This window comes from Homo sapiens, chromosome 4, assembly GCF_000001405.40.
Source record: "Homo sapiens chromosome 4, GRCh38.p14 Primary Assembly".
In the NCBI taxonomy this organism is placed as follows: Eukaryota; Metazoa; Chordata; class Mammalia; order Primates; family Hominidae; genus Homo; species Homo sapiens.
In genome coordinates, this window is record NC_000004.12 from 139,027,833 (window position 1) to 139,051,037 (window position 23,205).

The following is a 23,205-nucleotide window of genomic DNA, read 5'->3' on the forward strand; positions in this document are numbered from 1 at the left end:
TTTCACATGTCATGAAATATTACTGTTCTTAAGGTTCCCCCCCTCCCCCTACCATTTAAAAATATAAAAGCCTTTCTTAGCTTGCAGGCAGCACAAAGACAGGATGCTGCCAGAGTTAGCTCATGGGTCACAGTCGGTAGATCCCTGATCTAGAGAGGACTCTGTACAGTCAGCAGAAGGCGCCTTATAGTTTCATATTTCCACTCACACTGTAAAAACACGTCATTTTTCCAAGTGTCCCAGAAATGTTAGTGATGGGAGATCACCAGATTTTTAGGTTTTGCTTTTTCACATTTTTATTTCAGAGGATTGTGCTAGAAAAGCCCAGCTTGTGGAAATGATTTGTCAGCCAATAGACAATTGAGCACCAGTCGAACATGTTAAACTAAGCATTTATCATGGAGGGGATTCCCTTCTCTTTAGAGAGCTTTTCCATATGAGTCTGTCCTGGCTGAAGGTATGGTTCAGTCTTGTCTGGATGACGCTTCAGCTTTCTTGTCTGGTCTGTGACTGCCACCTGGCAAAGAGAGGTTGTTTGGATTGTCACACTCAGTCTAGGTGCTTGTATTTTTAGACACGTTAGGTTGAGAGTTCTGACCTTCACTTGATATCTCTGGTAATGCCAAGCGGGTCGTGGCACTGCTTTGTACACTCTGTGCTGTGGCAGTGTGTGTGTGCTGTGACGACAGTGACGTCGACAGATGGAGGAGGTGCAACTCGACCTCTGTTTCTTTCTGGCCTGAAGAATGGGCTGCTGTGTGCGCCTGGGGCTAGGCAGGACAGCTGCATCGCTGTTGCCCTGAGGCAGTATCAGCACAGCTGGAGATGCTGACGAGCAGCAGTCCAAGGTGCAGGTAACTTTCTCCAGGGCCAGCCCCCTTACTAGTTGTTCAATCTAGAGAAAGCTGTGCAGATACCCACTTCACCAGATTTGGGACAGAATAATGAAAATACATGGAAGCAGTCTGGCACATTATCTCGAATGTTAATAATAGCCTTCTCTTTTTGTTTTGTTTTGTTTTGTTTTGAGACTGAGTCTTGCTCTGTCGCCCAGGCTGGAGTGCAGTGGCGTGATCTCGGCTCACTGCAACCTCCTCCCAGGTTCAAGCAATTCTCCTGTCTCAGCCTCCCGAGTAGCTGAGATTACAGGCACCCACCACCACATCCAGCTAATTTTTGTATTTTTAATAGAGACGTGGTTTCACCATGTTGGTCAGGCTGGTCTCAAACTCCTGACCTCAAGTGATCCACCCACCTTGGCCTCCCAAAGTGCTGGGATTACAGGCGTGAGCCACCACGCCCAGCTGAATAATAGCCTTCTCTTTATGCCTAGGAAAAAAGTGAGTTTTACAGAATGAAACAGAATAGCTAACATTTAGCTAATCACTTAGGATGTGCCAAGTACCTCTTGTTTAACTAAATTAATCCTCACAGTAACCAAATAAAATAGATTACACTTACCTATATGAAGAAGATAATGAAGAAGCAGAGAGGTAAATAAGTTATTCAGGATCCTATTAGTAAACAGTGGAGCCAGGATTTGGATTCAGGCAGCCTAACTTGAGTCCTTGCTTTAAGACTTTCTTGCCTCTGCGGAACCGCAGGCCGAACTTCCTGGAGAGAGCTGAGGCTTTAGCTATGAGGCTCAGTACTCGAGGCAGGCCTGTCATATTCAGTCAGTGGCACTCAATAACAGACTTGGAGACTGGTCGGTCACTAACTAAAATATTTGACTCCTGCCAGAAAGTAATACCTTCTTAACTTGGCACTTAGTTTATTTTTATTTTTATTTTAAATTTAATATAAGAGATGGGGTCTCACTACATTGCCCAGGCGGGTCTCGAGTTCCTGGGCTCAAGCGATCCTTCTGCCTAAATTGGCACTTAGAATCCAGTCTCTAGGATCTGGAAATTCATGTCATATAAGCCCACATCATGCAAAATTTGAAGGTGGCTGCATTCATTTGCCAGATGGACCTTCAGGGGACGTGTCACATTGTTTGAGTTTTGATTTTCTAGCTGATGGGTGCGCACACCACAGTTTCACAAAAATTTAGAAAGAGTTACTTTTTTTCTTTTTGAGACAATCTTGCTCTGTCACCCAGGCTGGAGTGTAGTGGTGCAATCTTGGCTCACTGCAACCTCTGCCTTCCAGGTTCAAGCGATTCTCATGCCTCAGCCTACTGAGTAGCTGGGATTACAGGGCTGCCACCACGCCCAGCTAATTTTTTTGTATTTTTAGTAGAGACAGGGTTGTTGGCCAGGCTGGTCTACTGACCTCAGGTGATCCACCTGCCTTGCCCTCTCAAAGTGCTGAGACTACAGGCGTGAGCCACCGCGCCTGGCCTAGAGTTACGTTTAATGGTGACTTAGGACCTCATTACACTTTTGAACCTTAGTGTTCTTATCTATAAAGTGGTGTAAATAATGGCCAACAGGTTCTTGAGCAGGTAACTGGTTACAGCAAGTAAAAATGCTTGGTATACCATAAAATGCTCCACCAATAAAAGGTGGTCCTCCATCAGTGTTTGACAGAATTTCTTGGTACTTTGCTGTCACTTGCCATCTTTTATTAACATTGTTTAAAGCACTGGGCTGGATCCTGGGGGAAATGGTAAATAAGGGAAACAGTCCCTGCCCTTGGGAGGCTTAAAGTCTCATGAGTAAAGGACAGAGATTGTGGTGCAAATATCCAAGGGTACCCTAAGTAGGAGAAATGGGCCAGGTATAAGAAAAGGAGAGCCATTGGTTGATCCATAGAGCTAAGCCTGGTTGCTATGAATCTTTATTGATTCCTTCAATATATATTAAATAAATATATTGTATATCCAACATCCAGGCTGCTTTATGTTGGTGGTTATCTTGTGTGAATTCTCGTTTGTATTGAAGATGGCCAGGTATTCTGGAACCTACTCTAAGAAGGCTAATGAAAATCAGCTGCTAAATTAGCTTAGTTTTTGTGAGGTGTTCAACACGCATGGCCAGTAGATGGCAGCATTGGATTGCTGTTTCAGAGATGCCTTCTTGTGCCATTGATGGCTTAGTTTTTGTGTGTTGTGTGTGCTTCTAGGTTTCCTCGGGCGGAGGTTGATCAGCTTCCATAGCTTCCCAGGTGCGTACTCAAGATAATCCTGGCTTTTGCTTGGTTTTTAATCAGCGTTTTTGCCAGGCCACCGTTTCAAGATACTAAACGCAAACTGTGAGAGAAGTAATTAGACGCTGAATGGTTTGGGCAAAGCCTAGAACAGGCAATTGGTGGGCAGCTAGAGGAAGGAAACCTGTGTGGAGCTGTGGAGAGTGGTCGGCCCTGAGTGACTGCTTTCTTTTTTTTTTTTTGAGATGGAGTCTCGCTCTGTTGCCCAAGCTGGAGTGCAGTGGCGCGATCTCAGCTTACGGCAGGCTCTGCCTCTGGGGTTCACGCCATTCTCCTGCCTCAGCCTCCTGAGTAGCTGGGACAACAGGCACCCACCACCATGCCTGGCTAATTTTTTGTATTTTTAGTAGAGACGGGGTTTCACCATGTTGGCCAGGATGGTCTCGATCTCCTGACCTCGTGATCCACCTGTCTTGGCCTCCCAAAGTGCTGGGTTTACAGGTGTGAGCCACCACGCCCGGCCTGCCCTGAGTGATTCCTTAGTGCTATTAGGAGTGCTTGGAATGGTGGGCCAAGTCAGTTTGGGTCTCGACTGTTGGGGTTGTCATCCAGCATTCTAATTATTGATGTGAAGGTGTTTCATTGCAGCCCGACCATTTTCCTTATGGTCGCATTCTTAGGAACTTGAATTGTGATCTGCCTAGATTGCTTTAGTAGTGTGTAGTAATTGGTAGTATTAAGGGTGTACATATATTCAAATATATTTGTGATTAGCCCACTTGTGGGTTTTGTTTTGTTTTGTTTTAGAGGGAGTCTCACTCTTGTTGCCCAGGCTGGAGTGCAGTGGCATGACCTCAGCTCACTGCAACCTCTGCCTTCCAGGTTCAAGAGATTCTCCTGCCTCAGCCTCCCAAGTAGCTGGGAGTACAGGCGCCCGCCACCACGCCCGGCTAATTTTTGTATTTTTAGTAGAGATAGGGTTTCACCATGTTGTTCAGGCTCGTCTCGAACTCCTAACTTCAGGTGATCCACCCACCTTGGCCTCCCAAAGTGCTGGGATTACAGGGGTGAGCTACCACGCCCAGCCTCCCACTTGTGGTTTTTAGGAAAGTAAAGGTATTGCCAAATGGGAGTTTACATACTTGCTACTGTGTTTCAGAAATCTAAATAATCTGAATTCTCTGGCAGTTCTTCAAAGGCTGTTTATAAAAGTAAGAAGAGTTATATTCTTATACAGTAAAATAGCAGTGAGGGCTTAGCAATAGTGGTACAAGGAATTAAGACATCCAGTTTTAAATGTATGTAAAAATGTGCTTATAGAATTAGTCAGTGGCAGGGGGATGGGGTGATGTTGCTAAATGGACACTAGGCAGAAGAGATAAAGCTATTTAATGTGCCTGTTAACTATATGAATTCTGTAACTTGTGTGTTGCATTGAGAGTTATGGCTGGCCCATTGCCGTGACTCATGCCCAGTCCCAACACCTAGGGAGGCTGAGGTAGAAAGATCACTGAAGGCCAGGAGTTTGAAGCCAGCCTGGGACGCTTAGTGAGATCTCGTCTCTACTTTTTTAAAAAAAAATTTAATAAAAAAATAAAATGAGAATTACTGTGTTTGTGAAAAATGAATTGTGAGCAGAAGCCAAATATGGGTGGAATCAAATCCAAAATTTCCAAACACATAAAATTAGACCTGAAGCCAATTTGAGTGCCAAATAGAGTTCAGCAGAGGTTTTGTCAAGATTTGGTACTTTTCAGTATCTTAATTGCCACATGGGTAAATTATTTGTGCTGTTTAGCCTTAGGAAATAAGCTTTGAATATTGAGCTATTGTGAAGGTTCGAAAATCTTTTTAAAGTCCTGAATAGCAACTCCTATTAAGGCATAAAACTTAAGTAGATGGTTTGAAATCCTGGAAATCAACATGTATTTATGTATGAAAGGAATTTTTTTTAATGATTGATACTCGAAAATTAAAAAGTGAATGTGAATTAGCCGAGGGTGGCGGCGTGCACCTGTAGTCCCAGCTACTTGGGAGGCTGAGGCAGGGGAATTGCTTGACCCTGGGGGGCGGAGGCTGCAGTGAGCCAACATCGCGCCACTGCACTCCAGGCTGAGGAACAGAGCGAGACTCCATCTCCAAAAAAAAAGTAAGTGTGGCCAAGTGCAGTGGCTCACACCTGTAATCCCAGTACTTTGGGAGGCCAAGGTGGGTGGATCACTTGAGGTCAGGAGTTCAAGACCAGCCTAGCCAACGTGGTAAAACCCTGTCTCTACTAAACATATAAAAATTAGACAGGTGTGGTGGTGTGTGACATAATACCAGCTACTCAGGAGGCTGAGGCAGGAGAATTGCTTGAACCCGGGGGGGCGGAGGTTGCAGTGAGCTGAGAGTGTGCCTTTGCACTCCAGCCTGGGCAACAGAGTGAGACTCCATCTCAAAAAAAAAAAAAGTTGAATGTTAGGTGGGGTATGGTGGCTAATGCCTGTAATCCCAGCACTTTGAGAGGCTGAGCTGAGAGGATTGCTTGAAGCCAGGAGTTCAAGACTAGCCTGGAAACAAAGTGAGACCCCTGTCTCTACAAAAAAAAAATTCTTTTAATTAGCCAGGGTGGTGGCATATTCCCATCATCCCAGCTGCTTAGGCTGAGGCAGGAGGATTGCCTGAGTCCAGAAGTTAGAGGATGCAGTGAGCTATGATGGCACCATTGTGCTCCAACTCCAGCCTGGGCAATGGAGTGAGACCCTGTCTCCAAAAAAAAAAAAGGGGGAATGTAAAGTTGTTTTTTAAAGTAGGTGAGAAACAATGAGACTTGTTAACTCAGTTATTCTCTCATTTTGTTTTTTTTTTGAGAGCTGGGGTGCAGTGGTGCAGTCATGGTTCACTGCAACTTCCACCTCCCAGGCTTAGGTGATCCTCCTGCCCTAGCCACAGGCACATGCCACCATGCCCAGCTAATTTTTTCTTTTTTTAATTACATCTAGATACGGATCTCTCTGTGTTGCCCAGGCTACTCTCAAACTCCTGGATTTAAATGATCCACCCACCTCAGCCTCCCAACATGCTAGGATTATAGCACGTTTGAAATTGGCATAATAAGCGTATCTGCTTCCTAGGATTGTGATGAGAACTGAAAATATAGTTAAAGTTCAGGAGGCTGGGAAGTCCAGTCAAAGGGCTGGCATCTGGTAAGGGCCTTGTTGCTGTGTCATGCCATGGCCAAAGATGGAAGGTCAAGAGAGGGCTGAACTCGCCCTTTTATAAGGAACCCACCCCTGGAACAGCACTGTGTCTCCCCACCCCCCACCTTATTGGTATTAATCCATTGATGAGAGCCATGCCCTCATGACCCAAACACCTCCCATTGCCCAACTCCCAACACTGCTGCTTTGGGGATCAAGTTTCTAATACATGAACTTTGGGGGACATGCATTCAAACCATAATAAAGTGAGAAGAGAAAGGTGCCCCTCAGTCTTCAGTCTTCTTTAGTTTACAAATTTAAATAAATAGACTTACTACATTATAGTCCCTAGGTGGTTCTTAGTAAGCCTTGGCACTGTGCTATAAGTATAAAAATAATACGTAAAGTCTATCTAGTATTTACTTTGTTATTAATTCCCTAGCCCTGGTTTGTTTGCTGTGGTGTTGTTGTGGTGGTGGTGGTGAAAGGGTCTTGCTATGTCACCCAGGCTGGAGTGCAGTGGCGTGTCTCACAGTTCACTGCAGCTTCAAACACCTGGGCTCAAGTGATCCTCCCTCCTCAGCCCCTCAAGAAGCTGGGACTACAGGCATGCGCCACCACACCCAGCTAATTTTTGTGTTTTTATGTTCATCATGTTGCTTAGGCTGATCTCAAACTCCTTGGCTCAAGTGATCTGCCCACCTCAGCCTCCCAGAGTGCTGGGATTACAGGCGTGAGCCACTGTGCCCGGCTCATGTTCTCCTACTTCTCTGGCCATGTCATTTCATGTTGTTTTTGCAGATTTCCCAGATCTCAATCTTTTGATCTCCTTTCTCTCTAACTCAATTCAGTCTTTTCTGTGCATTAACATCTCCCAATGTTTGTTTCCAGTTTGTAACTCTCTTCTGAATGTCAGTCATCTAATTGTTGAACTCCTATTTTCTGTAAACCCTGTCAAGTCTTCCTAACCACTGTAGTTGGCACCTCCATCCTTCTGGTCGCTCAGCTGGAAACTGTGGACATTTTTTTTTTAAAGAGATAGATAGGGTCTTGCTGTCACCCAGGCTGGAGTGCAGTGGCATGATCACAGCTCACTGCAGCCTCAATCTCCTGGGCTCAGGCAACCCAGTTCAGCCTCCCGAATAGCTGGGACTACCAGTGCACACCACTACACCTGGTTAATTTGTTTTTGTTCTGTTTTGTTTTGTTGTAGAGATAGGGGCTCCCAGTGTTGCCCAGGCTGGTCTCAAACTCCTGACCCTAAGCGATCCTCCTGCCTTGGCCTCCCAAAGTGTTTTGATTACAGGCATGAGCCACCACACCCAGCCTCAAGGCTCCTTTTTGACTGCTGTTTGTCACAAATCACATCCAAGTTATCAAAACTTGTTGGATCCAACTTTAGATTGATTGAGAATCCAACCACTTTCACTGCTGCCCCCCAGTTCACCCCTGCTGTCTCTTGCCTAGATTATTGTACATTTCCTCAAATGAGTTTCCTCCTGTCTGCCCTTATGTCCCTGTAGTATAGTGTAGTTTAAATATATCAGCCAGTGATATTTTCAAAATGTCAATCAGATTCTCCTCTTGAGTAGAATTCTCCAGCTGCTTCCCATCTCTGATAAAGGCCAAAGTCTAGATAGACCAGCAAGGCCCTACCCGATCTGCTCCCTCTCACTGCTTTTTCTCTGACCTCATCTCCTTTTATTCAGACTGTTCACACCACCATAATCCCCTCTGTTTATCAAGCTTGCCACGCATGTTCCTCAGGGATTTTGCACTTGCTGTTCCCTCTGCTTGGAATGTTTTATCAGTCTCCAGTGAGGCTATTTCCTTACCACCTCCCGGTCTCTGCTCAAATTCCATCTTTTGGCGAGGCCTCCTTAAGCATCGCATATCCAATAATAGCTCCCTGCCCACAAGCATTCCCTATTCTACCTTTTCCGTTTATTTTTCTCCAAAGCACTTTTCCATATATGACAGACTACACACACACATATATATGTTTGTATATAGGGTCTTGTTTGTCTCTCCCCACTAGAAAGAACAGAAGCTCCATGAGGGCAGATACTCATCTGTTTTGCTCAGTGATGTATCTCCAGGGTAGTGTCTGGTACACGGTAGGCACTAAAACCTTTTTTTTCCTAGAGAGATATTTAATTTTTTTCTCTAGAGAGACAGAGTCTTGCTATTTTGCCCAGGCTGGCCTCAAACTCCTGGCCTCAATTGAGCCTCCTGCCTCAGCCTCCTGAGTAGCTGGAATTATAAGTGTGAGCCACTGTGCCTGGCTCCAACTCAAAGATTTGACAAAAAATGAATGAACAGTCGTATGTGTCTGTGGTTTGAATGGGGCAGAAGATGAGAGTGGCTACCCATGATGGACCAAGTGGTATAGTCACAAATTAGAGCTTCATATCTAAATCCTATTTTTTCGAAGTCCTTTTCTGGTTACTCTTATCCATCCTGATTGTTTTAACCCTTATTATACCCTAGTGATTCTGCATAGTTAGCACCCAGTTTTTCTCTCATGAATTCATGAGTATTAATCTTTCCCCAAATACTTGCCAATTTTTTTAGGGGAAATATCAGCACATATTTTATTGGCATAACTCAATAAAACTACATTGGCATAACTCAGTGACTTAACAAAACTCAGAGAATAGAGAAATAAATGTAAAATTAACATACAGCAGAGAGATTATCCCAAGGACTATGGGATTGGATTAAATTAAGAAGATTAGAGTGTTGCCAGTGATGGTCCCACTGTTTAAGAGAGTAAAGTGCAAAGAAGGTGAGTAAAATTGCAGGGAGCACAGAACAGCCTGGCACAGGGGAGTCCATCAGTAAGCTGTCTAGAACGAGGGTGGATAAGTGGAAATGCCTTTCAGGACCATCTGTATCTCTGTCCTAACTTCATGCTCATTATGCAACAGACTAATGTTTCCCAGGTACTTTAGTATTAGAGGGCTTGTCCTATGTCATGTTGTGGTTAAATACTCTGGCAGTCAGTGTTGCACCAGTCCACCTTGGGGAATATCTTTGGGTTTCCTGTAAGGTCTAAGGGGACAGAGACAAGACTATAGTAAACACTTCCTAATGATTCCCCTCTACCTAGTCTCTTATTCAAAATGTAGCCCAATGATATCTTTCTCAGACGTGCTCATCTACAGTGAAACAAGTACAAAAGGGCTATGCCAATAAAACTTGAAAGGCAAATTGCAGTGTATTATTCCATACATGAGTAGTGTTATCACACCTGACAAGAATTATTCATTGTTTTTCAAATATGAGTATAGAAATTCTGAATGAAACATCCTTTTTTAATAATTACTATTTTTTTATTTTTGTAGAGACAGGGTCTCACTATGTTGCCCAGGCTGGTCTCGAACTCCTGGACTCCAGGGAACCTCCTGCCTCAGCCTCCGAAAATGCTAGGATTACAGGTGTGAGCCACCACGCCTGGCCCAAGTTTTATTAATAGGAAGATATGTGTCTCTACTGCAAACAGTAGAGCTGTTATATGAGGAACATAGATTTGAAAAGTTTCCCCCGTTCTAACCCAGATGCCTTTTCCACCTGATCTTGGAGAAATTAAGACCACGTAAGCCCTCATTTTAAAGAGAAGTAAGCAGATCTTGGCTGGTACGGTGGTGTGCACCGGTAGTCTCAGCTACTCAGGAGGCTGAGGTGGGAGGATGGCTTGATCCCAGGAGTTTGAGGCTACAGTGGGTTATGATCATACCACTGCACTCCAGCCTGGTAACAGAGTGAGGCCCTTACAAAAAACAGGCCCTTTGGGGAAAAAAAAAAAAAAGGCTGGATGTGGTGGCTCACGCCTATAATTCCCAGCACTTTGGGAGGCCAAGGTGGGTGGATCACTTGAGGTCAGGTGTTTGTGACCAGCCTGGCCAACATGGTGAAACTGTCTGTACTAAAAATACAAAAATTAGCCAGGCGTGGTAGAACAAACCTGTAGTCCCAACTCCTCGGGAGGCTGAGGAAGGAGAGTCGCTTGAGCCTGGGAGGTGGAGGTTGCAGTGAGCCGAGATCACGCCACTGCATTCCAGCCTGGTGACAGAGTGAGACTGTCTCAAATAAATAAATAAATAAATAAATAAATTTTAAAAAGTTAGGTAAGCAGGTCTAGAGAGTTGTGGCACAGCTAAATAGTCATAGAACTGGGACTAGAATTCTCTTTTGAGGCCTTAGAATTTGGTCACGCTGCAGTATATCCTGCATCTCAAAAGCTTTGTCTTCTGAGGGTGAATTTGTTGAAAACCACCAAGAGGATCTCAGGCCAAATAAGGTAGATGACCAGATTTGATAATCTGCTATTAGTCCAAAATGAACTGGCTTTAACAAGAATGTTTTCCTTGAGAATTGTAGTGAATGAATAGCCTATTAAATGCATCGCAAAAACTAGATCCCCCTAAAAGACAACAGGGAATGATAGACTATCCCATTTGATTCATCTCATATATACACAGCAGTCTCAGAGTTGCAGTGCCAGTACCACCACTACTAATTATGATCACTTAGACATAATTACTAATTATGATTGCTACTATGAAACTTATGAAAAAAGTTTAAAATTTTTAAATTGAAGATGCTTTTCTCATCCTGCCCCCTCCTTTTTTGGTGTACTACATCTTCATGTTCACTGTTGGGCCATATAGCCATTACATATTGAATTCTCCCTGAAAGTCTTCTTTAGAATTGATTTGCTAAGTAGCTCTGTGTTTAGTGCTTTGCTCCAGTTCTTACACCAGTGTTTCTGGTTGTTTTGGTCTGAAGCTTGTTCTCTAGTTCTAGATATGGCAAATTTTTTTTTGAAGAAGGCTACATATTAAATATTTAGGCTCTGTGGGCCAAAAATGGTCCTGTTAATGTATTCGTGAGTGTGTGTGTACTTAACAACACATTTTTTAAATGTAAAAGCCATTCTTAGCTTGTTGGGTGTGGTGGCTCATGCCTGTAATCCCAGCACTGAGATGGCTGAGATGGGAGGATTGCTTGAGCTCAGGAGTTTGAGACCAGCCTGGGCAACACAGTGAAGACTCCATTTCAAAAAAAAAAAAAAAAAGCCATTCTTAGCTTGAGGACTGCCAATCCTTGCTTTAGTAGATTCCTCATAAGGGGCTCATGGAGACAATATTCCAGTTTTGCTGGATATAAAATCCTTGGCTTACACTTTATGTATTTTAAATATGTTACTTCATTTTCTTCTCACATAAAACATTGCAGTTGAAGTCTGATGACAATCTGATTTTTTTTTTTACTAGACCACTTGGTGTTGGTCATTCTGGGTTGATACTCTCAAGTTTGCAATGTCTTTTTTTCAATATCTACTTTTTAAGTATTTTTTTTTAAGTTTTCTTGATTTCTTTTGTTCCCTTTCGTTGGTCTTCATCTATAAGAACTGCTATTACTCATATTTTGGGTCTTTGCTCATTTTTAGTATTTGTCACTTTCTCCCTTTTATTTTTTTTTAAAAAAAGCAATCCTTAGGTTTGACTCTGATCTTTTTCTCATTTCTTTTTAATTTTTATTGCTAATTCTTTTTGGTGTCTAATTTCTGAATTTTCTAATTCTGATTTAGGTTATTCTTTCATGTCTTGTATCTTTTTGTTTTGTTTTGTTTTGAGATGGAGTATCGCTCTATTGCCAGGCTGGAGTGGAATGGCGCCATCTCGGCTTCCTGCAACCTCCTCCTCCCGAGTTCAAGCGATTCTCCTGCCTCACCCTCGCGAGTAGCTGGGATTACAGGCGCCCAACACCATGCCTGGCTAATTTTTGCCTTTTTAGTAGAGACGGGGCTTTGCTACGTAGGCCAGGCTGATGTTGAACTCCTGACCTCAGGTGATCCGCCCGCCTCAGCCTCCCAAAGTGCTGGGATTACAGGCATGAGCCACCGCGTCCGGCCTCTTGTATCATTTTCTTTTTTTTTTTTTTTTGAGACGGAGTCTCGGTCTGTCGCCCAGGCTGGAGTGCAGTGGCGCGATCTCGGCTCACTGCAAGCTCCGCCTCCCGGGAGCCTCCTGCCTCAGCCTCCGAAGCAGCTGGGACTACAGGCGCCCGCCACCATGCCCAGCTAATTTTTTTTTTTTTGTATTTTTTAGTAGAGACGGGGTTTCACTGTGTTAGCCAAGATGGTCTCGATCTTCTGACCTCATGATGCGCCCGCCTCGGCCTCCCAAAGTGCTGGGATTACAGGCTTGAGACACCGCGCCCAGCCTTGTATCATTTTCTTAAAGACTTAGCTCACTCTGCAATAGGATGCAGTTTGATTTGCTTCCTGGGCACATTTCTGGCATGCTTTCACTGTCTGATATTGTTCTATTCTTTATTCTCTTCATGTGAAATTGATTTTTCTAAATTTTTAGAAGGAAGTGTGGTTCAGGATTGCTTTTCTGATTTCACGTACTCCTCAAACGTTTGACTCCCATTGGACATCCTTCCTTCTGCACATTCATTTTTGCATGGTAGTTTTTTCATATAACCACCCTAAAACTCAGCTTGGCAAAGATAAAATGTCATCAAAAGGAATGTAGGGCAGTCCTATTGAAACTGAGCTCTACATCAAGCCCAGAGCCTGACAGGTGTCAAACGTCACTGTTTATTTCACATTTAAAATATAAAATATACCATGGTGTCCCTGTGAGTTTGCTGTGGTTCCCTGGGACACGTTAGCTCACAATTTGGGGATCACAATCCCAGGTGATGCTGATATTGCTGATCAGGAGACCACACTTGGATGTTTGGCTGTTTTTTGTTTGTTTTCCCCAAAAAACCTACAGGAAGTAAAAAAAAAAAGTACAAGAAGAAAGACTTTCAAAACTTGTACTGCCAGCCATGAAGAAAATTTCTTCCTTTGGACCCATGTACTCATGTATTTATCAATTAAAATGAAATTATTGAAATCAGTTTGGAAACAGTTGTATATGTGTGTATTTGTGGGAGAGCATGCTTGCTTGCAGATGCACACACACCTGCTATGTTTGTTGGGAAAATTAGTATGTGTTCATTTGCTGTAGTCTAGCTTTCTTACTGGAGGGAAAAACTACTTTGAGTAGACAGGAAGGAACAAAAAAAGCATGCTTGCATCCTCATTGACCTTAATGTTCAAGGACATTTGGTGGTAAATAATTGAATTTCCTTTGTAACCTGCCACAGTGAATTTGATTGACTGCTAGTTTGAGATGTGATTGATAAGCCTGCCAAATTTTATAAAGAAAACTTTATATAATGTTTACATTTATAAAATGTTTATGTTTTATAAAGAAAACTTTGTATCTCTCAAGAGAGGGAAATCCAGATTGCCTGGTACCAGCATTTATCATACAGAGAATCTTGGATGTTACTCCCAGTAAAATGTGCCCCTAATTTATACTATAATGAAAATAAAACATAGTTGACCTCTAAAAGAGCAATCAACTGCTTTCAAGTGAACTGCCACATAATGCTAATTAGTTGAAGATTATGCTCTGTTCTCCTTAATGAATTATAAAAAGCAAAACACTAAAAATTAACTCGGGAAGACAAAGTAACTGGTGCTTCCTGCATTTTTCCTTGTTCTTTGTCTTTCTAGGATCCCAGGAAATGTGGGCAACTCATGAGAAGGTAGTGCCCTGGATGGAAGTTAGCTGAACAAAATCAGCTTACTCTAAGCCCTTCTGGCCTCAGCCCCTTTTCTGGATTTTAAGAAATCCAGCAATTGATACAAGATTATAGAGTATACCACTCAGTGAAGTTCAGAGTTCTACTACAGAAAGCCCAAGCCTTGATTTACACTTAACATCTAGGAGAAATGGGAAAGAATCTAGCCATTACTTTCCCCAACAGAGGGATCTGTATAGATGAGATGACCAGCGTAGCAAGCAGCCTGCTATTACCTAATCTCTCACCCAGGATTAACATTAACATGGGCTTTCTAACATTTCACTTTTTACAAACTAGTCTTTAAGATCTTTTTTTTTTTTTTTTTTTTGAGTCTCGCTGTGTCACCCAGGCTGGAGCTCAATAGAGTCACCTCAGCTCACTGCAACCACCATCTCCCTGGTTCAAGCAATTCGCCTGCCTCAGCCTCCTGAGTAGCTGGGATTACAGGCGCACACCACCACACCCGGCTAATTTTTTATGTTTTTGGTAGAGGCAGGGTTTCTCCATGTTGGCCAGGCTGGTCTCGAACTCCTGACCTCAAGTGATCCACCTGCCTCAGCCTCCCAAAGTACTGGGATTACAGGTGTGAGCCACCATGCCCAGCCTAGTCTTGAGGTTCTTAAGATATATAGAAAAAGGAATGTAGATTTTGTTAAGCCTTGCTCTTTTTTTAAGACTGGTTTTATAAATTACAAAGACAAATCCTAGGTTAGAAGAGGCCATCAAGATCAAAGTATTTCTTCCTTAAAAGGATGAGTTTTCATTGTTAATCAGAGGCTAGTTTTAACGGTAGTACTTAAATTAACTGTCCTAGTAGAAAGCTGGAACCTGGAAACTCCTTTATTCTGCCTCTGTAGAAATGGCTTTATACGCCGGGCGTGGTGGCTCATGCTTGTAATCCCAGCACTTTGGGAGGCCGAGGCGGGCAGATCACCTGAGGTCGGGAGTTCCAGACTAGCCTGACCAACATGGGGAAACCCCATCTCTACTGAAAATACAAAATTAGCAGCGGGTAGAGGTGCATGCCTGTAATCCCAGCTACTTGGGAGGCTGAGGCAGGAGAATTGCTTGAACCTGGGGGTGGAGGTTGCGGTGAGCCGAGATTGTGCCATTGCACTCCAGCCTGGGCAACAAGAGCGAAACTCCATCTCAAAAAAAAAAAAAAAGAAAAAAGAAATGGCTTTATACACTATTATGGCAACAATTGAGCTCCTGGTTTCGGTGGACAGTAAATGTTTATCTTACAGTTGTGCTGGGCGAGAAGTCAGGAAAAGGAGCTGAGTGTGTAACTGTGATTTCCTTTTCCGTAGTGTGTTCCATGGGAACCGGTACAAGCAGACTCTATAGTGCTCTCGCCAAGACACTGAACAGCAGCGCTGCCTCCCAGCACCCAGAGTATTTGGTGTCACCTGACCCAGAGCATCTGGAGCCCATTGATCCTAAAGAGCTTCTTGAGGAATGCAGGGCCGTCCTGCACACCCGACCTCCCCGGTTCCAGAGGGATTTTGTGGATCTGAGGACAGATTGCCCTAGTACCCACCCACCTATCAGGGTTATGCAATGGAACATCCTCGCCCAAGGTATGCTGGATGCTTTTGTGCCTCTGCAGTCAAGTTTGCTGTGACTGCCTTTCTGCTTCTGCACATCCACAGTGCACTGTTTTATGTGGAAGGAAGAGGTGTGGGCAGATGGAGGTGACTGCAGCAGCATGGAGAGCTCCTAGAAGAGGTTAAGACAGGGAATCATCTGGTTTTCACTTTTTTTTTTTTTTTAGAAAGAAAAAAGACACTTTAATTGTTCTTGGATAGTCTACAAACATGGAAGGTGTAAAGAATAAACCACGAGTTACTTGCTTTAATTGTAAAAACCAAGTCAGGTGCAGTGGCTCACACCTGTAATCCCAGCACTTTGGGAGGCCGAGGTGGGTGGATCACCTGTGGTCAGGAGTTCGAGACCAGCCTGACCAACATGGAGAAACCCCGTTTCTACTAAAAATACAAAATTAGCCGGGTGTGGTGGCGCATGCCTGTAATCCCAGCTACTCGGGAGGCTGAGGCAGGAGAATCGCTTGAACCCAGAAAGTGGTGGTTGCAGTGAGCTGAGATTGCGCCATTGCACTGCAGCCTGGGCAACAAGATCGAGGTTGCAGTGAGCTGAGATTGAGCCACTGCACTCCAGCCTGGGCAACAGAGTGAGACACTGTCTCAAAAAAATATGTATATATATATATATATATATATACACTTTGTTACAGTAGTAAGGACTTCTTTCCTGGGTCTGCCAAATTAAAAAACAGATGTGTCAATCAACTCTATGTAGCATTGCCTTTTATGTAAGCAGTTGAGATTTTAAGAAAAACAAGGGCCTGATTTTTTTTTTTCCTGGAAAATAAGGGGAGATTCCGTGACTTACCAATCTTTGATTCTTTTTCCCTAAGTAGGAAAAGCTGCCTATTTAAAATAAGTTCCATTCATTCTGAGTAGTGTCCATAATAGTCAGGGTTAAAACTAATACTTGGTGTTAAATATTTGGTGTTTAAAAAAACCAAAAAAATTTTAAAAGAAAATTGGCATTTATTTCATTTTATATAGCTTAGATCCCTGGCACTGCAAAGCAGTTTCCTTAAGTAAGATCTTAATATCCTGGAATATAGTTAACATGAAATCATTTCGAAACAAAAGATCTGTTGTTTGCTTCATCCACATAGTGAGAGGTGATTTAGTTTGGATGGGGTAATACAGTTTGGACAGAGAGCCACTCCAAGCATTTAAAGCAGAGGAAGCATTCTGAGGGTCTTGAGTGATGCCAAACCTCCTGGGTACTTTGAAGTCACGGTTTTGTAAGAGCTGACAACTGACTAGCTTTTTCTTTTCAGCTCTTGGAGAAGGCAAAGACAACTTTGTACAGTGCCCTGTTGAAGCACTCAAATGGGAAGAAAGGAAATGTCTCATCCTGGAAGAAATCCTGGCCTACCAGCCTGATATATTGTGCCTCCAAGAGGTGGACCACTATTTTGACACCTTCCAGCCACTCCTCAGTAGACTAGGCTATCAAGGCACGTTTTTCCCCAAACCCTGGTCACCTTGTCTAGATGTAGAACACAACAATGGACCAGATGGTTGTGCCTTATTTTTTCTTCAAAACCGATTCAAGCTAGTCAACAGTGCCAATATTAGGCTGACAGCCATGACATTGAAAACCAACCAGGTGGCCATTGCACAGACCCTGGAGTGCAAGGAGTCAGGCCGACAGTTCTGCATCGCTGTTACCCATCTAAAAGCACGCACTGGCTGGGAGCGGTTTCGATCAGCTCAAGGCTGTGACCTCCTTCAGAACCTGCAAAACATCACCCAAGGAGCCAAGATTCCCCTTATTGTGTGTGGGGACTTCAATGCAGAGCCAACAGAAGAGGTCTACAAACACTTTGCTTCCTCCAGCCTCAACCTGAACAGCGCCTACAAGCTGCTGAGTGCTGATGGGCAGTCAGAACCCCCATACACTACCTGGAAGATCCGGACCTCAGGGGAGTGCAGGCACACCCTGGATTACATCTGGTATTCTAAACATGCTCTAAATGTAAGGTCAGCTCTCGATCTGCTCACTGAAGAACAGATTGGACCCAACAGGTTACCTTCCTTCAATTATCCTTCAGACCACCTGTCTCTAGTGTGTGACTTCAGCTTTACTGAGGAATCTGATGGACTTTCATAAATACTTGCTTTTGTCTTTTTAATCACAGGAGTCTATTTTTTTTTTTTTTTTTTTTTTTTTGAGACAGAGTCTCGCTCTGTTGCCTAGGCTGGAGTACAGTGGCCTGATCTCGGCTCACTGCAAGATCCGCCTCCCGGGTTCATGGCATTCTCCTGCCTCAGCCTCCAGAGCAACTGGGACAACAGGCGCCCGTCACCACGCCCAGCTAATTTTTTGTATTTTTAGTAGAGACGGGGTTTCACCGTGTTAGCCAGGATGGTCTCGATCTCCTGACCTTGAATCACAAGAGTCTTAACAGGGAATGTTTCAGGAAACAAATAGGATAAGACAATGCCAGAGGAAGGATAGAAACATGGGAAGTTTCTATCATTTCATTTTCTGCGTTTCCAGCATGCCCTTGGAAAAGACTCCCTTTAGTCCCTTTTTCAATTAAAACCTATGGTGAAAAAGGCGTTTGCACTCCAATTTTGGCTTGTGTTGTTTTCTTTTCCTTAATATTACATTTTGATCATTTAAGGGCATTAAATTGGCTTGTTTTGGTCAGGTGTGGTGGCTGCTCATGCCTGTAATACCAACACATTGGGACGCCAAGGTGGGAGAATCACTTGAACCCAGGAGTTCGAGTCCAGCCTGGGCAACATGGCACGAGACCCCATCTCTATTTCTAAAATAATAATAAATTCGGTTATTTTGAAGCTTTTTCAATTTGAGGATGCTATAAAAACTTAGACTTGTTGCTTGAATCTTCCATAATAGTATGTAGGAGCAATTTCTCTAAACAGCATTTTAAGTTATTTATTTGTGGGTTTTTAAAATGTCAACAAAATGCATGGCAGTATTTATTTTTTATATCTTCATATAAAATTAAGTAAATTATAGCATTATGAACATTTTAGAACCATGCAAGAGAAGTTATAGAGAAAGTAATTTATGGTGATTTTCATAAAGCTTTAAAATATTTTCATTTGGGCTATAACAAAATGAGTACAAAGGAACTATTTAGCCTGGAGGGGCTTTTGTTATTTAAATGTCAGATTTCTTTGATACATTCTTCAAAAATAATCCTTGTCCTGCCTCTATGTTCCATTATTGTGTTTCTTTTTTTTTTTTTTGGAGACAGAGTCTCACTCTGTTGCCCAGGCTGGAGTGCAGTGGTGTAGTCTCGGCTCACTGCAAGCTCTGCCTCCCAGGTTCACACCATTCTCCTGCCTCAGCCTCCCAAGTAGCTGGGACTACAGGCGCCTGCCACCACGCCCGGCTAATTTTTTGTATTTTTAGTAGAGACGGGGTTTCACCATGTTAGTCAGGATGGTCTCAGTCTCGATCTCCTGACCTGGTGATCTGCCCGCCTTGGCCTCCCAAAGTGCTGGGATTACAGGCGTGAGCCACAGCGCCCGGCCTTATTGTGTTTCTTGAAGAGATTCCAATTAGTTTTCAATTATTTAACCAATTAGTTTTCATTATTGCTGTTATATTTAAACTTTACCATTGGAATAATATTGGTATGCGTTTGATATTAGTCACTCGATGTCATCATTATTTGTATTGGAATGTGCTATTCACAATAGGTTATTTAGAAGCTGTATGTGGCAGTGGCCAAGAGAGTCAGTAGGACCTTCTTTTCAGAGATAGGAAACTTTCTAGAAAGCCTGTTAATGGGCTTTCATTGAAATTTCCTAAGATAGCCAGATACTGTCATTCAAAATATCTAGAAAGAAGAATGTAAAAAGTTAGATAACCTGGGTCGGGTGTGGTGGCTCATGCTTGTAATCCCAGCACTTTCGGAGGCCAAGGTGGGCGGATCAACTGTGGTCAGGAGTTCGAAACCAGCCTGGCCAACATGGTGAAACCTCGTCTCTACTAAAAATACAAAAATTAGCTGGGCATGGTGGCAGGTGTCTGTAATCCCAGCTACTTGGGAGGCTGAAACAGGAGAATCGCTTGAACCTGGGAGGTAGAGGTTGCAGTGAACCCAGACTGCACCATTGCGCTCTAGCCTGGGCAACAAGAGTGAAACTCCATCTCAAAAAAACCTGGAATTCTCTTCCATCAGAAATAAAAGTAAAAATTACAGGTAAAGCCTCTTCCAAACAAAATAACTTATTGGTAATAGATATTTTAATTTGTGAGTTGTAAATACATAAGATTAATAAATGGTCTTTTAAACCTAGTGCTTTTAATGTCTTTGTAGTCCAAAAAGAATCTGGGAGTAGATTTTCTCCTTTAATACTGTTTTATCATAATGACCCACATATATCCATTCACACATGGAGCCTTCACTGTAAAAGTGAACGTACATAGATCTGTAGCTGCAACAACGTCCACTGAAATGGATCACTCATTCTTTAATAGAACCACTTTTAAAACAAATGAGGTTTTCAGAAGTAACATAGTATGCACAGAATTTTGGGGCTACTGGAAAGAATGACAAGCACGGGAACATCTACCAAATGTAGAATTGGTTCAGATTTTAGCATGACTAATTGCTAGTCATATGTTGTTGAGAACAATACTGATTAGAATACTCATTATTGCAGGTACATTGTTTACCTACCCCAAAATACTTCAACCGGAAGAGAAACCATGGCAGCCTTAAATAAATAAATCTGGATAAGAATGAAGGCCAAAATAATGTCTGAGTTTCAAGTGTTGTCTACCAACAAAATTAACAGGGTATGAGTTGAGGGTGGGCATATGGGTGCATGGGCATGCCACCAGACGAAATCAGTTTTGGAAACACCAACATATGATTGGTATGTTACTATGAGTTAAGGGGACTGGAAAAAATCCAGTGAAACTCTCGAGTTATCCTTTCTAGTTATCACTGCAGGAGATTGGATCCTTCACTGATGCATTATCAGGAACTGAAAAAGAAAATTTTTTTAAAGTCATATGTGAGCCTTCTAATAATTTTTTAGTAGTATATAAATCTTAATAGGTTGCTTTTTTCTTTTCTTTTGAGATACGGTATTGCTCTGTCACCCAGGCTGCAGTGCAGTGGTGTGATCATGGCTCACTGTAGTCTACCCCACGGGCTCCAGTGATCCTCCCACCTCAGTCTCCCGAGCTGCTGGGACCACAGGCACGTGAAACCATGCCCAGCTAAAATTTTTTACTTTTTTGTAGAGATGGGGTTTCATCACATTGCCCAGGCTGGTCCCAAACTCCTGGGTTCAAGTGATCCTCCTACCTCCACCTCCCAAAGTGCTGGGATTACAGCCATGAGCCACTGTGCCCCACCCTAAGTTGCATGTTCCTTGCATAGATCCCTTATTCCATCCATATGTACCTTTCATTCTGCTTTTCCTATTATACCCTATATACTATTGTTTCTGGTTTTTATTTTTCTATTTTCCCATACACTGTTTTGTCAGAGTCTCAGAAGGTAAATTGCAAATTTGAAGAGGGAGTAGGAATGGCATGAGTTTTGGTTTCCTTCATGCCACATTTCAGTAGATACCGTAGTACATGGTGGTAGTAACGACTGACTGGATTGTTTATTTAAATAAGGCATTATGGTGTATACATATGATGAAATTAACATTTGAGTTCCTTTGACTCCAAGAGCTTTACATACGATCTTAAAACTAAACTATAGACGGGGGCTCAAAAGGTCAAATAATTTGAGCAAAGTGATAGCAAATAAATAGTAGCTGAGTCAGGATTCAAACTCAGGTCTGTCTGGATTCCAAAGTGCTTGCTTCTTCCCCACCACCATTTCTTTGGCTTTGAGTGAACACAAACGGGGAGAATAGACATTGCAGTGTAGCAAGAGATTTGTTAAACATGGTCAAATGGTCAAACATGTAAGTCAAATACACATGAACTATCATACATACAGTGTTAGACTAGAAGCAGGATATGGTGGCTGAATACTGGAATATAATGGATTTCCAGTGGGTTTTTTTTTTTTTTTTTTTTTTTAAGATGGAGTCTCACTCTGTTGCCTGGGCTGGAGTGCAGAGGTGCGATGTCAGCTCACTGCGACCTCCGCCTCCCAGGTTCAAGTGATTCTCCTGCCTCAGCCTCCCTAGTAGCTGGAATTACAGGCGTGAGCCACCACACCCGGCCTGGATTTCCAGTTTTCTGATACAGTAAAGTCTAGTTTTGCCCAAAGTAGAACATTTGATACTGTTTGTGTACTTCAATCGTAGTTTTTAAAGGAAGCAATAAGAACAGCTACTCTAGTATTTCAAATTAAAGGAAAAAACTGATGCAAATATTCTGTATTCAAACCATTTTTTAAAACAGTCAAGATTTATAATGAAGGGAATGTTGCATATAGTTACATATATATGCATTATTTATCATGTGTGTTAGACTTGAAAGATTCCCAAGAATTAAATTCTAAAAAGAGAGAAAACTAAAACATGATTTCAGTTTTAAAAAAGGAAAGACATCCAAGAAATGAATGTGCATGCATAAGGAGCTCTAATCAACTCTTTCTTTAAAATGACATGTATAAAAATATAGGACAGGCAGACTTTTTACCTGGAGTGGATAGATATTAGCAAGAGATTTGTGAGCCATGGTCAAACACCAGAATGGCAAAGGCCTGGAACTAGGGCATGTACAATAAGGGGAGAGGAAAAAAGCAACATGTCAAAGGGCACAGGCTGTAACTGAAAAGACTTAGCTGTCACCAGTGTGACCCTGAACGAGTAGAGCCTAAGTTTTCTCATCCATAGAGTATATCTGCCCTCTCAACCTCATAGATTTGTGAGATCTGTAAAATAATATAAATTTTAAAATACATATTGTAAGTCACACAATAATAATGGCTAAGTTTCAAAACAAAAAAGGGAAGGGCCCTCTGTATTTCATGTCGTAACAACCCACTCCTAATTTTTTCACCAAAGAGAATAACCCTTCAATTTGAAAGGGCAGAACTAAGTGTTTATAGAAATTTAAGCCCAAAATAGGCAGAAGGGCTGACTGAAGGGCAAAAGATTGGTTGGTTGGTCTTTTCTACCCAGTTGTTCCTCTAGGCAGATGTGAGGTTGTGGGCTAGTGCTTAGGTTCTTCAATTTCGAGAGGTTGTCAGTTGTACTTTGATTTGTAATGTAGAAAGATCTGCCTTTGAATGACAAAACAGAATACCCACAACTCCAGCCCCTTGTTCCCATATTTCTTTGGAAAACTCAATTCTGGGAAAACATTCATGTAAGATTAGTCACACAGACAGCAAAACCTTTCTTGACAGAATGCTAGGCAAAGCTTTGCGTCTCCTAAGCATCTGGTAAACTTGGACTGTATGAATCTCAACTGGTTAATTTATCTTTATTGGCTGCCAATATATTCAAAGCCAGTATATAGCTGCATTTTAATGACTGTGTAACACTTTACAGCATATATTCTATTAGTTTTCTTTTGTTAATTTATTTAAAATTCCTTTTTTCTTCACTGAAATTTCTTGTACCTGTTTTTGTTGACTTCCATTTATTCTTTTTTTTTTTTTTTTTTTGAGACGGAGTCTCGCTCTGTCGCCCGGGCTGGACTGCAGTGGCGCGATCTTGGCTCACTGCAAGCTCCTCCTCCCGGGTTCACGCCATTCTCCTGCCTC

The 23,205-nt window shown here is 42.6% G+C and overlaps 1 protein-coding gene and 1 long non-coding RNA gene across 2 annotated transcripts in view, besides 2 other annotated features; one reads left to right on the top strand and one right to left on the bottom strand.

Annotated features, from left to right (window-relative positions):
* NOCT (nocturnin) overlaps window positions 1-18,107 on the top strand; it is a 30,159-nt gene extending 12,052 nt beyond the window's left edge. The window contains exons 2-3 of the mRNA NM_012118.4: window positions 15,242-15,511; window positions 16,807-18,107. Of these exons, the coding sequence (NP_036250.2) occupies window positions 15,242-15,511; window positions 16,807-17,642 (1,106 nt within the window). The 3' untranslated portion in view covers window positions 17,643-18,107. The remainder of the gene's footprint in view (window positions 1-15,241; window positions 15,512-16,806) is intronic.
* Window positions 218-718: an enhancer, noted in NCBI's record as "H3K4me1 hESC enhancer chr4:139949204-139949704 (GRCh37/hg19 assembly coordinates)". NCBI's record gives its function as "activates a minimal SCP1, AML or CMV promoter by ChIP-STARR-seq in naive H9 embryonic stem cells {active_cell/tissue: H9 hESC(naive)}" and the evidence as "EXISTENCE:reporter gene assay evidence [ECO:0000049][PMID:30033119]".
* On the bottom strand, window positions 271-5,088 carry LOC124900780 (uncharacterized). Its single transcript, XR_007058274.1, has 2 exons — window positions 1,462-5,088; window positions 271-517 (listed from the first exon to the last, which is right to left on the bottom strand). It is a non-coding gene; the product is annotated as an uncharacterized LOC124900780 (long non-coding RNA).
* Window positions 2,921-3,745: an enhancer, noted in NCBI's record as "H3K4me1 hESC enhancer chr4:139951907-139952731 (GRCh37/hg19 assembly coordinates)". NCBI's record gives its function as "activates a minimal SCP1, AML or CMV promoter by ChIP-STARR-seq in primed H9 embryonic stem cells {active_cell/tissue: H9 hESC(primed)}" and the evidence as "EXISTENCE:reporter gene assay evidence [ECO:0000049][PMID:30033119]".
* Window positions 18,108-23,205: the final 5,098 nt, after the last annotated feature.